This window comes from Homo sapiens, chromosome 9 (genome assembly GCF_000001405.40).
Source record: "Homo sapiens chromosome 9, GRCh38.p14 Primary Assembly".
Taxonomy (NCBI): domain Eukaryota; kingdom Metazoa; phylum Chordata; class Mammalia; order Primates; family Hominidae; genus Homo; species Homo sapiens.
In genome coordinates this window covers 131,827,321-131,839,427 of record NC_000009.12, presented here as the reverse complement: position 1 = coordinate 131,839,427, position 12,107 = coordinate 131,827,321, and the positions used below count along the sequence as shown (strand labels likewise).

General features: G+C 53.7%; 2 annotated features.

Annotated features, from left to right (window-relative positions):
- Nucleotides 1,230-1,768: an enhancer, noted in NCBI's record as "H3K4me1 hESC enhancer chr9:134713047-134713585 (GRCh37/hg19 assembly coordinates)". NCBI's record gives its function as "activates a minimal SCP1, AML or CMV promoter by ChIP-STARR-seq in naive H9 embryonic stem cells {active_cell/tissue: H9 hESC(naive)}" and the evidence as "EXISTENCE:reporter gene assay evidence [ECO:0000049][PMID:30033119]".
- Nucleotides 10,867-11,366: an enhancer, noted in NCBI's record as "H3K4me1 hESC enhancer chr9:134703449-134703948 (GRCh37/hg19 assembly coordinates)". NCBI's record gives its function as "activates a minimal SCP1, AML or CMV promoter by ChIP-STARR-seq in primed H9 embryonic stem cells {active_cell/tissue: H9 hESC(primed)}" and the evidence as "EXISTENCE:reporter gene assay evidence [ECO:0000049][PMID:30033119]".

The following is a 12,107-nucleotide window of genomic DNA, read 5'->3' as shown; positions in this document are numbered from 1 at the left end:
GGTCCCCATGACCTCCAGAGAGGCCTCCTCGCCCTGTCCTGGCCAGGCCTGCCCCGGAAGCACCCCTTGCGGGCAGTTAGAGCAGCGACGTCCCCGAGCGGCACCTGGTTTCCTCTCCAAGCTCAGCTGCAGCTGGGGTGGCGGCAGGACCTCGGCTGGGTCCTCACCAGCCCTGGGCCTCCCTGGCAAAGTGGGCTGTGGACGCTGGGCAGGCCAGACCCCAGACTCCTGGCTCCCTCACCCAGGCCTGGGAGTGGTTCTCAGTTTGCTCAGTGCCCCCCAGCCCCACCTGAGATCAGGTCCTTATGGCCTGGAGCCAGGGGATCTGCAGCTCCCCTCCCCTCTCCCTGCCCTCTCGAAGCCCACGGCAGAAGCACCCCCTGGGTCGGACCATGCCAGGGTGCCCTCTGGATCGGACCAGGTTCCAGCTCCTCAGACAGCGGGAGACGCCTGCTCACCTCTCCCCAGCCCCCTCTCCCTCTCCACACCCTGTCCCCTCCCTGGGAAGGCTGCACCCCTCTGTTCCCAGCCACTCACTCCCTCGAGGCCCGCTCAGTCCTCCCTGCAGTGGCCTCCCTGCCTGGGGGCTTCACTGACGGCAGCAAACGTTGCTCAGGCTCGGTGGGTGGCGCTGTGTGTTCAGCCCGGGGCCTCCGGCGTGCTGGTGTCAGCCAGCGTGGGACCTGCTCAAGGTAAGCCCTCAGGCAGTGGTGCTGAACGACTGAATGAATGAATGAATTCTGGCCTAGAAGGTGGGACGGGCATGGAGCTGCACAGCAGTGCTCCCAGGAAGACGCTAATATGGGAGGGGCTCTGGAAGGCTGAGCAGGGGCATCTGCTGAGAGCAGAACCAGAGGCTGAGGAGTGGGGAAGGGTCAGGCCGGGAGAGAGGGTGAGGTGGGCGGGGCTGAGGCCACCCGCGGATCCTTGGGGGAGCTTGGAAAAGGGGCCGTGGCTGCCCCCTCAGGACGAGCTGGGCCCCTTGGGGATGGGGGTCCGCCTGACGCCCCCCCCCCCCGCCCCAGGTCCAGCCCCGGAAGCCTGTCATCTGCACGGTGAGCTCTGATGACTGAGTCTCACTTTCCAAAGAGGCTTCCTCACCACAAGGCTCTCCTGTCCTCCCTGAAGGGACCTCTGTAGCCAGGTGTTGGCAGCGTCACCCCACGCGTCACTCAGGGCAGCTCGTAAGCCAGCAGTCCACGAATAAAACAGCGACCACCAGGAACCCTATTTATGGTCCTGATAAGTCCAGAGCCAGGCGCTGACCCAGGGCCTGCCTTGCTCCTCCCATTCCATCTGCACAGCAGCCCTGCATGGGGACGGGACTGCCGTGAGCCCACTTCCCAGAGGAGGAAACGGAGATGTCCAGGGGCAAACTCGAGTCACACTGCTGAGAAGTGAGGTCCCACGCCCTTCGAAGCAACACGGAGTGTTTAGAGAAGCTCAGGACAGTGATTGATCTAAGGTGAGGGTGGGGGATGGCAGGAGCAGAGGGGACACCCAGAGCTGAGAACAGAGCAGAGGGCTGTGTGTTTTGGGGGAGACAGCAGGAGCTGGGAACAGAGCAGAGACTTGTACATTCTGGGGGTGTCCAGGGCTTGCTTGGGAATCTTTCTCCCAGAAAAAGCTGACAGACACTCAAGATGTGCAGGCTGTTCCCGGGCTAACAGTCCGCAAGCCCAGGCACAGACTGGCAAGGTCACGATCAGCCCCAGCCCAGGCTCCCCTGGCCGGGCCAGGAAGGCAGGAGGGCAATAGAGACATGGAGCCCAGGCCCCCGCTCCCGTCCCTTCCCCAGACCCCACATGTCACGAGCAGTCTGGCTCCTTGTACTCTCCAGAATCCCTTGCCTGTCTCCAGCCCTCGGTTGTAACTCCAGAGAGGGCTGCTGCCATGTTTCACCTGAGCACCCCTGCCCTGCCTCCCAGTGGCCACTCGAGTCCCACTGCCTCTTCCCGCCATCAGCCTGCAGCAGCCACAATGCAGACAGGGGCACCGCCCAGCCTGACCTGGTCTCCGTCCTGCCAATCCCTGCCCCTGCCCCTGCTCCTGGCTATGCCCTGACGGGTCCTAGGCTGGACCTCAGATGCTCAAAGATGCCAGGCTGCTCCAGCTCCTGCTTCTCCCCAACAGGGCTCAGATCATCCAGCCCATCCCACTTTCCCACTAACTGCACATGTGTCAGACTCAAATGCACCTTCCTCCGGGAAGCAGTCCATGATTAGACACCCGCCCCCCATGGCCATCAGAGCCCATACCCCCCCATAGTAGAATTTATACCTGTTCATCTGCTCCCCCACCCCAGAACAGTGAGCACCAGGACAGGGCCTATGCCTGCCCAGCTCACGGCAGGCCCAGCTCCTCCCAAGTAAACTAACGAGGGCCTTTTTTTTGGTGGTGGAGACAGGGTCTTGCTCTGTCACCCGGGCTGGAGTGCAGTGGTGCAATCATGGCTCACTGCAGCCTTGACCTCCCAGGCTCAAGTGATCCTCCCGCCCCAGCCTCCCGAGTAGCTGGGACTACAGGCATGCATCACCATGCCCGGCTAATTTTTTAATTTTTTTGTAGAGATGGGGTCTCACTATGTTGCCCAGGCCAGAGGGTCCTTCCCTCTGCAGCCCAGGGACGTGAAATGAGAGAAAGGGGGTCTGTGGGTGCCAGCGCTCGCCTGCTGTGTCCTGGGTCCTCCAAAACATCCAGCCAGCTCCGGGCAGGTGCGGTGATCCTCAGGGCATGTGCAGGTGGCCCTGTGACACCGGCCGCCACTCTCGTTTCCCCAGAGTTACCTCCAAAGGGAACCTCACGCCTCATCTCAGAGCAGTTGGTGGTGCAGGCTGAGCTGATGTGGTCACGTTGTTTTTGCAGGCGAGGTCTGAATCCAGAGACTAGGCGTCAGGGTCTTCTAGGGGGGCCAGAGCAGAGCCAGGTGCCCGAGTCTCAGCCACAGGGCCTCGCCGGGCTCCTCCCAGGAGGACGAGCACCACGCTACCGAGGACGAGGACGGGGTTAGGGCTTCCCACGTGTAGATCACTCTCGCTTCACTGAATCCTCACAGGAACCCAGGAGGGAAGACTGTGTTATTTTTTCCTTTCACTGATAGAGAAACTGACGCTTGGAGTGGATAAGAAACTTGCCCCAGATCACAAGCTAAGAAGTAGAGGAGGCGTAGGCCGGGCGCTGTGGCTCACGCCTATAGTCCCAGCGCTTTGGGAGGCTGAGGCAGGCGGGTTGCTTTAGCCCAGGAGGCCGACTGCAGTAAGCCGTGATCGTGCCACTGCACTTCAGTCTGGGCGACAGAGCGACTCCCTGTCTCAAAAAAAAAAAAAAAAGTAGAGGAGGCGGATTCCACCCCAGGGTTGCGTGCTCCAGAGCTGCGTTGCTTCTTCCTTCAGGACACGTCCTGTCAGGTGGGGTCAGGAGGGTACCAGGAAGGAAGAGACAGAAGGCCATAGGGAATTCAGAAGGGGGAGCGTGTGCCCTTGTCTGGACATCCAAGAGGGCTTCTTGGAGGTTGTGGCATTTGAAATGAGCCTGGAAACATAAGTAGGGTTTGACCAAGAGAAGTCAGAGTTGGGAAAATCCGTGGGAAACTATCAGGGGGGTCCCAGAAGCTGTGGACACCCGAGGGCCCCACGTGCCTGGCACACCCAGCACCTCCTTCAGCAGAGGAGGTGGAATTCCAACACCGTGCAGCTGGCCTGCGCCTTCCCAGAGGCTGGGTGTGCAGGGAGGAGAGAGGACAGAGAAGCCCCAAGTCCCCGGGCCGGAGTTGGGGAGATCGCGTGAGTCTGAATCTGGCTTGCACAAACCCCAGGCCCTCTCCCGGCTCCCAGCATCACTGGCAAAGTTGTGTGGCTGTGGAGGGAGGGTCTGGAGCCCCCATTAAAGGCCCAGGATCCCGCAGGCTCCACACCCTGCAGAAGGCCTAAGGCTGAGCGTCTGGGGGAGGGGGAGAGAGGAGGGCCCCGGACAGCCTCCGAACTTTGCATCCGCTCCAAGTAAAGGGAAAACACAGCTGTTCAAGGCAGAAAGGCTCCGTTTACACTTGGAAAAGCTGAAGGTGGGGCTGCACAGCCCTGAGCCGCAATGACTTTCGCACATCCCCCGGCAGCCCGGGAGGCGCCCGCCCACGTGGAAGGACGGCTTTTCAAGCCTTTCTGGGGTTTCTTCCCCACTTTCTGAGGCCGGCCTGTGACGGATGACGGGTCCGCTCGGGCCTGACGCAGCCTTTCTTCTGCTAAACTTTCCAGCTAAAAATACCTTTACTTTTAAGGACTGCGTCTCCCTCTGGAGCCTGATTTTCTCTCCGAAGCTTCCTCTGACAAGTCTTCCGGCTCCGTGGATAGAAAGTTTTTAATTGATCCTGCTTTTGTGCAGGAGGAGCGAGGTGGGCGACACCTTTCATCTTCCCCGAGGCCGCTGGGCCTGCGATGGCTGAGTGGCAGTGGGCAGGACTGGAAATCCTTAGGTGATCAAAGGCTGCGAGGAAGGCAGTAGCTAGAACGTGCCCCGGGGGGTGTGGAGGGCCCAGCTCATGGCCTCGGAGAAAGGCAGCTCCACCTCCCAGGAGGGGAGCTGAGCTCTGAGCCACGACGCTCAGGGGTCCCAGGGCCTCCTGGGACCAGGCAGAGGGCCACAGCTCACTGCCCCTGTGTGAGGAGAACTCAGCCACGTCAAAGAAGGAGAAGGGACAAAATACCCATGGTGGGAACTAACGTATTAGTGACCATCACACAGGAACTAAAGTATTAGTCAGAGTAGAGCCTCACAGGAGCCCCACGGGATTTCTCCTTTAGCCTGAAGCCACCTTCCTGGTCAGTGGTGACCGAGCCTCCTGAGAGGCACCGAATTATTGGTCCTGATTCCTCCCCACCCAACAAGGTGGTCAGACTCTTCATATGGCAGCTCAGACCTCCAAGTGTGCTCCAAGAGACAGGAGGCAGAAGTGGGCCCAGAAATGGAGAGAGTCAGTTCCACCATATCCTATTGCTTGAAGCAGTAACAGGCCCACCCAGATTTAAAGGGAGGAGATATAGACCTCCTCATTTCAATGGGAGAAGTTCACAGAATTTGTGACCATCTTTACCACACTTATGAAAAGTACAATCAGCAGTCAGGAAGGGCTCCACACAGTGACTCAGAGACCCAGTCCAGGAGGGGCTCTGCTCCACACAGTGACTCAGACACCCATGCCACAAGAGGCTCAACTCCATACAGTGACCCAGAGACCCAGGCCATGAGGGGCTCAGCTCCACACAGTGACTCAGACACCCAGGCCATGAGGGGTTCTGCTTCACACAATGACTCAGAGACCCAGGCCATGAGGGGCTCTGCTCCACACAGTGACTCAGAGACCCAGGTCAGGATGGGCTCTGCTCCACACAGTGACTCAGACACCCATGCCACAAGAGGCTCGACTCCATACAGTGACCCAGAGACCCAGGCCAGGAGGGGTTCTGCTTCACGCAATGACTCAGAGACCCAGGCCAAGAAGGGCCCTGCTCCATACAGTGATTCAGAGACCTAGGCCAGGAAGGGCTCAGCTCCACATAGTGACTCAGAGACCCAGGTGTATTTCACTTCCATGCACACTTCATGGCCAGAATTCAGCACATGGCTCCACCGAACTGCAAAGGATGCTAGGAAATGCCATCCAGCTGTGTGCCTGGAGGGAAGGGAGATAGGCTTGGACAGTCCATGGGTCTCCCTCCCAAGGTTGAGGCGAGGAGTACGTGAAAAGGATGCTTGACACATCACTGGCAGCCCTGAATGGCCATCCTCCCCTCCTCTAAGTACCTCTGAGCATGTGGGCAGCGGGCATGGCTGGTCTGCATCACTGTGTGGTTTGCTACTGGTACCTGCCAGTCCCGTAGCACCTGCAAAAGGAAACATCCCCCACGTATGGGTAGCCCCAGGTGCCCATGCCATGCATCCCATGGCTCCCCTGTTGTCCACAGCTGAGGGAACAAAAAGAGGCTGGTCACTGGCCCACAAAGGTACCTGGCATGAGAAGCTTTGCCTGGGGAGACTGGTCCAACCAGAGTCTACGCCAGCCAGAGATGAGCTGAAAAGAGGCAGAGAGCAATCACAGTGTGCAGTGTGGGTTGCGTGGGGCTGGGGCAAGCAAGAGCTCACAGCCTTCGGGTGCAGAGCTGGAAGCTGACACAGAAAGCTCTAGAGAACAGGGGCAGGAAGCGGGTGGGTGCAAGAGTTCTGATAAGGTGATGAAGGAGAAGCAGAGACCATGAGACTTAGCTGAGATGTGCTGGTGAAGATCTTTCTCTGGACTCTGAGAAGCCATCTTACACCACACAGGGGAAGACCAAGTCCTTTCCTCCTACCCTTCCAGGCTCTCAGCAGGGGCTCCATCAAAAAAAAAAAAAACAGATTAACAAGTGAAAAACATACATATTGCTTTCATGTATGTTTTACAGGACCTAGTGCCCTCATAAGGAAATGAACACATAAAGCAGCAGGCAGAGTGGAATATTTATGAACTAAACTGGACAACATAGTAAATTAGGAAAATGTGACAAGACAAAGGGGCTTGGGCTAAGGTAGTTTATGGTGGAAAAGTAGGAAGATAAGGATCAGTTTAACCACGTGTGTCTGCACAGATCTTTCTCTGCCTCGACTCCCCATCTCTGGTGATAAGAATGTTACTTCCTCTCTGGTATAGAGAGGACATCTTCTATGCAGGGGTTTTATCTCCTACTTTTAGGAAGAAAAAGCAGAAGTCAGAGTACTTTAGTCACTGCTGCTATTTCTTTTCCTCGGCTCTTTCTTTCTTTCTTTCTTTCTTTCTTTCTTTCTTTCTTTCTTTCTTTCTTTCTTTCTTTTTTTTTTGAGATGTAGTCTTGCTCTGTCACCCAGGCTGGAGTGCAGTGGTGCGATCTCAGCTCACTGCAACCACTGTCTCCCGGGTTCAAGTGATTCTCCTGCCTCAGTCTGCTGCGTAGCTGGGATTACAGGTGCACACCACCACACCCAGCTAATTTTTGTATTTTTAGTAGAGAGGGGGTTTCACCGTATTGGCCAGGCTGGTCTCGAACTTCTGACCTCAAGCAATCTGCCCACCTCAGCCTCCCACCCCCTGGGATTACAGGTGTGAGCCACTGCGCCCGATGCACCTGCTATTTCTTTAAGTGCCTTTAGCTCAAAATAACCCTTATGTCAAAGAGGCATATTTGAGGGTGGCATATTCTACCACCCTTTAGTCTCATCCTGAGCAGGAGACTCACAAGATATCCCGGGTCCTTATGAACCAAGAGCAACCAACAGAGTGCAGACACAGCTAGAGAGAATCATCACTCTCAGTCATGGGTCCACAGACTTTCTGCAGGGAGCCCACTGGTCAGGATTTGTGGCTTTGCAGGTCTCTCTCACAATCGCTCAACTCTGCCTTCATGGTGCAAAAGCAACCATAGACAATAGATACACAGTGAATGGGGCTATGTGCCAATAAAACTTTATAGACACTGAAATGTTAATTACATAAAATTTTCACATTTCAAGACATACCATTCTTCGTTTGATTGTTATCAAATGTAAAACCCATTGTTAGCTTGTGGGCTGTACAGAAAGCAGGCAGCGGGCTGGATCAGGCCCATAAGCTGTAGTTCGCCAACGCTAGTCTTAGTGCAGAAGGGCCAAGGGTGTCCTGTGGTTTGGTCATTCAGCTCCTGAACCTACTTCCGGGCCTGCGGAGACCTCTCCTTCTGAGGCAGAGCCCGCCTTCTGCTGTCACAGCCAAACGTGGCCAATGTGCACATGTATCCCAGACGGCCATTGGCAGCCGCTGCCCCCGCCTCCACCAAGGCACGTGCTGGGAACCAGGGACCGAGGGGAACCGTTCTGGGATGGGTGGCGACCCTGGACACCAAGGCACATGGCGGTGCCCGAGGGGTGGTGCTGCCTGGTGGCAGCGGAGGGGAGAAACCCCCACACAGCTCAGGCCGGGCAGCGATGGCAGTGGTGTCTTCACCAACCACTTCCGCTGGAGCCCATTCTTCCCTCCCAGCCTCACGGGCTCCGAGCTGGGTCCTCTGGCCTCCAGAGGTTCTGGGAGTCCCAGTGCCCTTGGAATGAATTCATTTTCTGCTTAAATCAGCTGGAAACTATTTCCGTGGCCTACAAATAAGAGCCCTGTCAGTTGTTGGAATTTCTCTTCGTGCTTTTCTCTAGTGAATTTCCAGGGCAGAAAAATGGGCTATAACGTTCTTCTTTTAATAAGTTGTTTTTAAAAAACTATTACATCAATAATACATGTTCACTATTTTAAAAAGCAAGAAATAAAGAATAATACAAAGAAGAAATAAAAATTTTTCAGCACCCAGAGATAATAAGCACAATTACTATTTTGAGGTAAACCCTTTCAGAGACAGATACAGATTTTTTTTATTACAAGAAAATGGGATGATATTATATGCCATCTTCTGACTGGCTCTTTTACTTGCTGGCATATCATGAGCTTCTTTTAATGTCAATAAGCATATGTTTACATCTTTTTTGGGGGGGTTGGGACACAGTCTTACTCTGTCGCCCAGGCTGGAGTGCAGTGGCACAATCTTGGCTCACTGCAACCTCCACCTCCTGGGTTCAAGCAATTCTCCTGCCTCAGCCTCCAGAGTAACTGGGATTACAGGCATCCTCCACCACGCTCGGCTAATTTTTGTATTTTTAGTAGAGATGGGGTTTCACCATGTTGGCCAGGCTGGTCTTAAACTCCTGACCTCAGGTGATCCGCCCGCCTCGGCCTCCCAAACTGTTGGGATTACAGGCGTGAGCCACTGCGCCCGGCCTACATCTTTTTAAATAAATGCCTACGCCATCAAATAATTTTTCTGCATCGATAAAGATGATCATATGATTTTTCTTTTTTTAAATTTTTTATATAGAGACAAGATCTCACTATGTTGCCCAAACTGGCCTTAAACTCCTGGCCTCAACTGATCCTCCCACTTCAGCCTCCCAAAGTTCTGGGGTTACAGGAGTGAACCACTGCACCTAGCCAATTTTTCTTTTTATTATGTTTTTTGTTTTTTATTTTTTTATTGAGACAAGGTCTCACTATCACCCAGACTAGAGTGCAGTGGCATAAACACAGCTTACTGCAGCCTCAAACTCCTGGGCTCAAGTGATTCTCCTGCCTCAGCCTCCCAAGTAACTAGGACTATGGGTGTGCACCACCATGTCCAGCTAAGTTTTTTTTTATTTTTAGTAAAGGCAGGGTCTCACTATGTTTCCCAGGCTGCTCTCCAACCTGGAGGGTTCAAGCAATCCTCCCACCTCGGCCTCCCAAAGTGTTAGGATTATAGGCGTGAGCCTCTGACCCTGGTCTGTGATTTTTTTTTTTTTCTTTTTTGAGACAAAGTCTCATTCTGTCACCCAGGCTGAAGTGCAGTGGTGCGATCTTGGGTCACTACAACCTCCGCCTCCCAGGTTCCAGCGATTCTCCTGCCTCAGCCTCCCAAGTAGCTGGGATTACAGGCATCTACCACCACACCCAGCTAATTTTTTTGTATAGTAGAGACGGGGTTTCACCATGTTGGCCAGGCTGGTCTCAAACTCCTGACCTCTAGTGATCCTCCCGCCTCAGCCTCCCAAAGTGCTGGGATTACAGGCATGAGCCACTATGCCCGGCCATGTGATTGATTTTTGACTGTTAAGCCAACCTTGCATTTTGAAATAAATCCCACTTGGTTGTGATATTGTTTTATTTGACTTGCTAATATTTTTTAAGGATTTTCACATCCATTTTCATGGGAAGAGTTGACCCATGATGTTTCTTTGTTGTAATGTCTTCATCAGAATTTAGCATTAAAGTTTTGCTAGACTCATAACATGAGTTAGACAGTGTTCCTGCTTTCTGTCTTCTCTGGGAGATTTGATGTAAGACTGGGATCCTTTCTTCCTTCAGTGTTTGGTGGAATTCACCAGGGAAGTCATCTAGGCCTGGAGTTTTCTTTGCCCGATCGTTCCTAATTTGGGGCTCAATTTCCTTAATGGATATGTTTTTTTTTTCTTGTGACAGCTTTGGTAAGTTGTGTTTTTAAAATACTTTGCCTATTTCCTTTAATTCTCAAATGTATCCACATAAGCTGCTCTGCTCTCTTCGTCCATTCTGTTTAAACATTAGACCTCTGTATGATTACAAGAGGTTTCTGTATGATTAGAGGTTTACGCACTGTATGCCTGTATCATACAGTGCATAGTATGCCTGTATCATACAGTATCTAGCCCTCACCAAAGTATATCAGCATGTCTTTTGTATGTGTCTGTCTTTGTCATCTCCTCTGCCCCCCACTGAACTGTGAACTCCCCACCCCCAGGCGTAGGGACCAGATGGAACTCACTGCCCAGACAGGACACATCTAGGCACCATTGAACTGAGGCCAGAGTGAACGGTCGCACTTCAGAATTTCAGGGGCAGCTCCCACTGGCTGCTGACTGCTTTAAATGGGCCTCAGATCACTTTGAAATGGAGCTTTCAGATGCCGTTTGCATGGAAACATCTAAGAGCTCCCCAGGTCCACCAAGCCAGAGAAAGTCATTGATAGATTAGTTTGAATGAGGATTAATCAATAATTTATGCTGATGTTTTTCCTCATACAGCAAAGAGGCCTTTTTTTTATATGATTTGACAGGGTCAGGCACACCTTGGTTTAATTAAACCTCATACAGAAAATTAAAAAAAAAAAAATGCCTACCAACCCCTGGGTGATTGGTTACCAAAGATGGACTCAACCTGCAATCGATGAGGAGGGACGGAGGAGCAGACCGGGCTGTTGAGTGAAAGTCCAGATTCAGCAGATGCCTCTGCAAGGCTGCCCTGATGGGCACGGCGAATGTAAGTACACTTATTGGCATCTTCTCATAACATGGCTTTTAGGAGGCCAGCCATTCGCACGCGATGATGGATGGTTTTGCTGGCGGGAACCAACGTCTGGAAGCCAACTTTGCCGAGGCCTCCCTTGGAGGAGCCGGAATGCTGAAACCGACATCCTCGGAGCAGACATCAAAAGCAGCGCATAAAATTTAATGATCAACCTCTTCCCAGCAAAACGGAAGCAATCTTGGAATCGAGTGGAGCATCGCCGTTAGGCGAGCTTCTCAGAGGACTTTCCAAGTCTTCCACCCTTCAGGCTGTCAGTGGGATCTCCAGCCGGGGCAGCCTGGCCAAGCGCCCCCATCCCCAGATCCACCTCCTTACACCACTAGACCAGTAGTGCTCAGTCCCAGAGGCGCCTGGGCAGCCACACCCAGCAGACCCCTCCCCACTGCACTGCGGCCACGGCCTCCATGTTAGTGGTTCACGCTGTCACATGAGATTGAGTCCGTCAGGTTGCAACTCCAGATCCCCACTCACCACCCTGCGGTGTGCAGAGGGGAGGAGGCATCTTAGTTCCCTTACAGCGGACAGAAGAGGTCGGGACCACGCAGCCGTCCCCCAGTTCCCAGGTGACTTGTGCAGGGCCTTGTGAACGTCCCTGAAGCGCCGTTTGTCCTCCCCCTGCCCCACATCATGCTGGCTGGACCCCTGCCCTAGAATGCCAGCTCCTGGGCTGAGTGTCCTGGGCAGACACTGAGCCAGAGCTGGAGCGTTGCTCCAAGCAGAGGAGCCTGGAAGAACCTGGCCCCGCTCCTGCTCCCCAGGCTGCCGTGCTGCCCCACCTGCCCTTCCACCCCCGCATTCTTCACTGTGCTTTTTGTTTTTTAATTTAATTTTTGACTGTGGTAAAACAGGCATAACATAAAATTCATCATTTTAGCCATGTCTAAGTGTGCAAGTCAGTGGCATTAAGCACATTTGCATTGTGCAGCCATCACCCATCCATCTCCAGAACTCCTTCATCGTCCCAAATGCAGCTCTGTCCCCATGAAACACTCACTCCCCTTCCCCCTCCCCCAGCCCCCGGCAGCCTCCATTGGACTTTCTGTCTCTATGGACTTGACTTTTCCAGGTACTTTGTAGAAGTGAATCTGCCAGTATTTGCCCTTTTGTGACTGGCTGATTTCACTGACTATAATGGCCTCGAGGTTCCGCCGTGTTGTAGCCTGTGTCAGAATCACCTTCCTTTTTAAGGCTGAGTCATATTCTGTGGTAT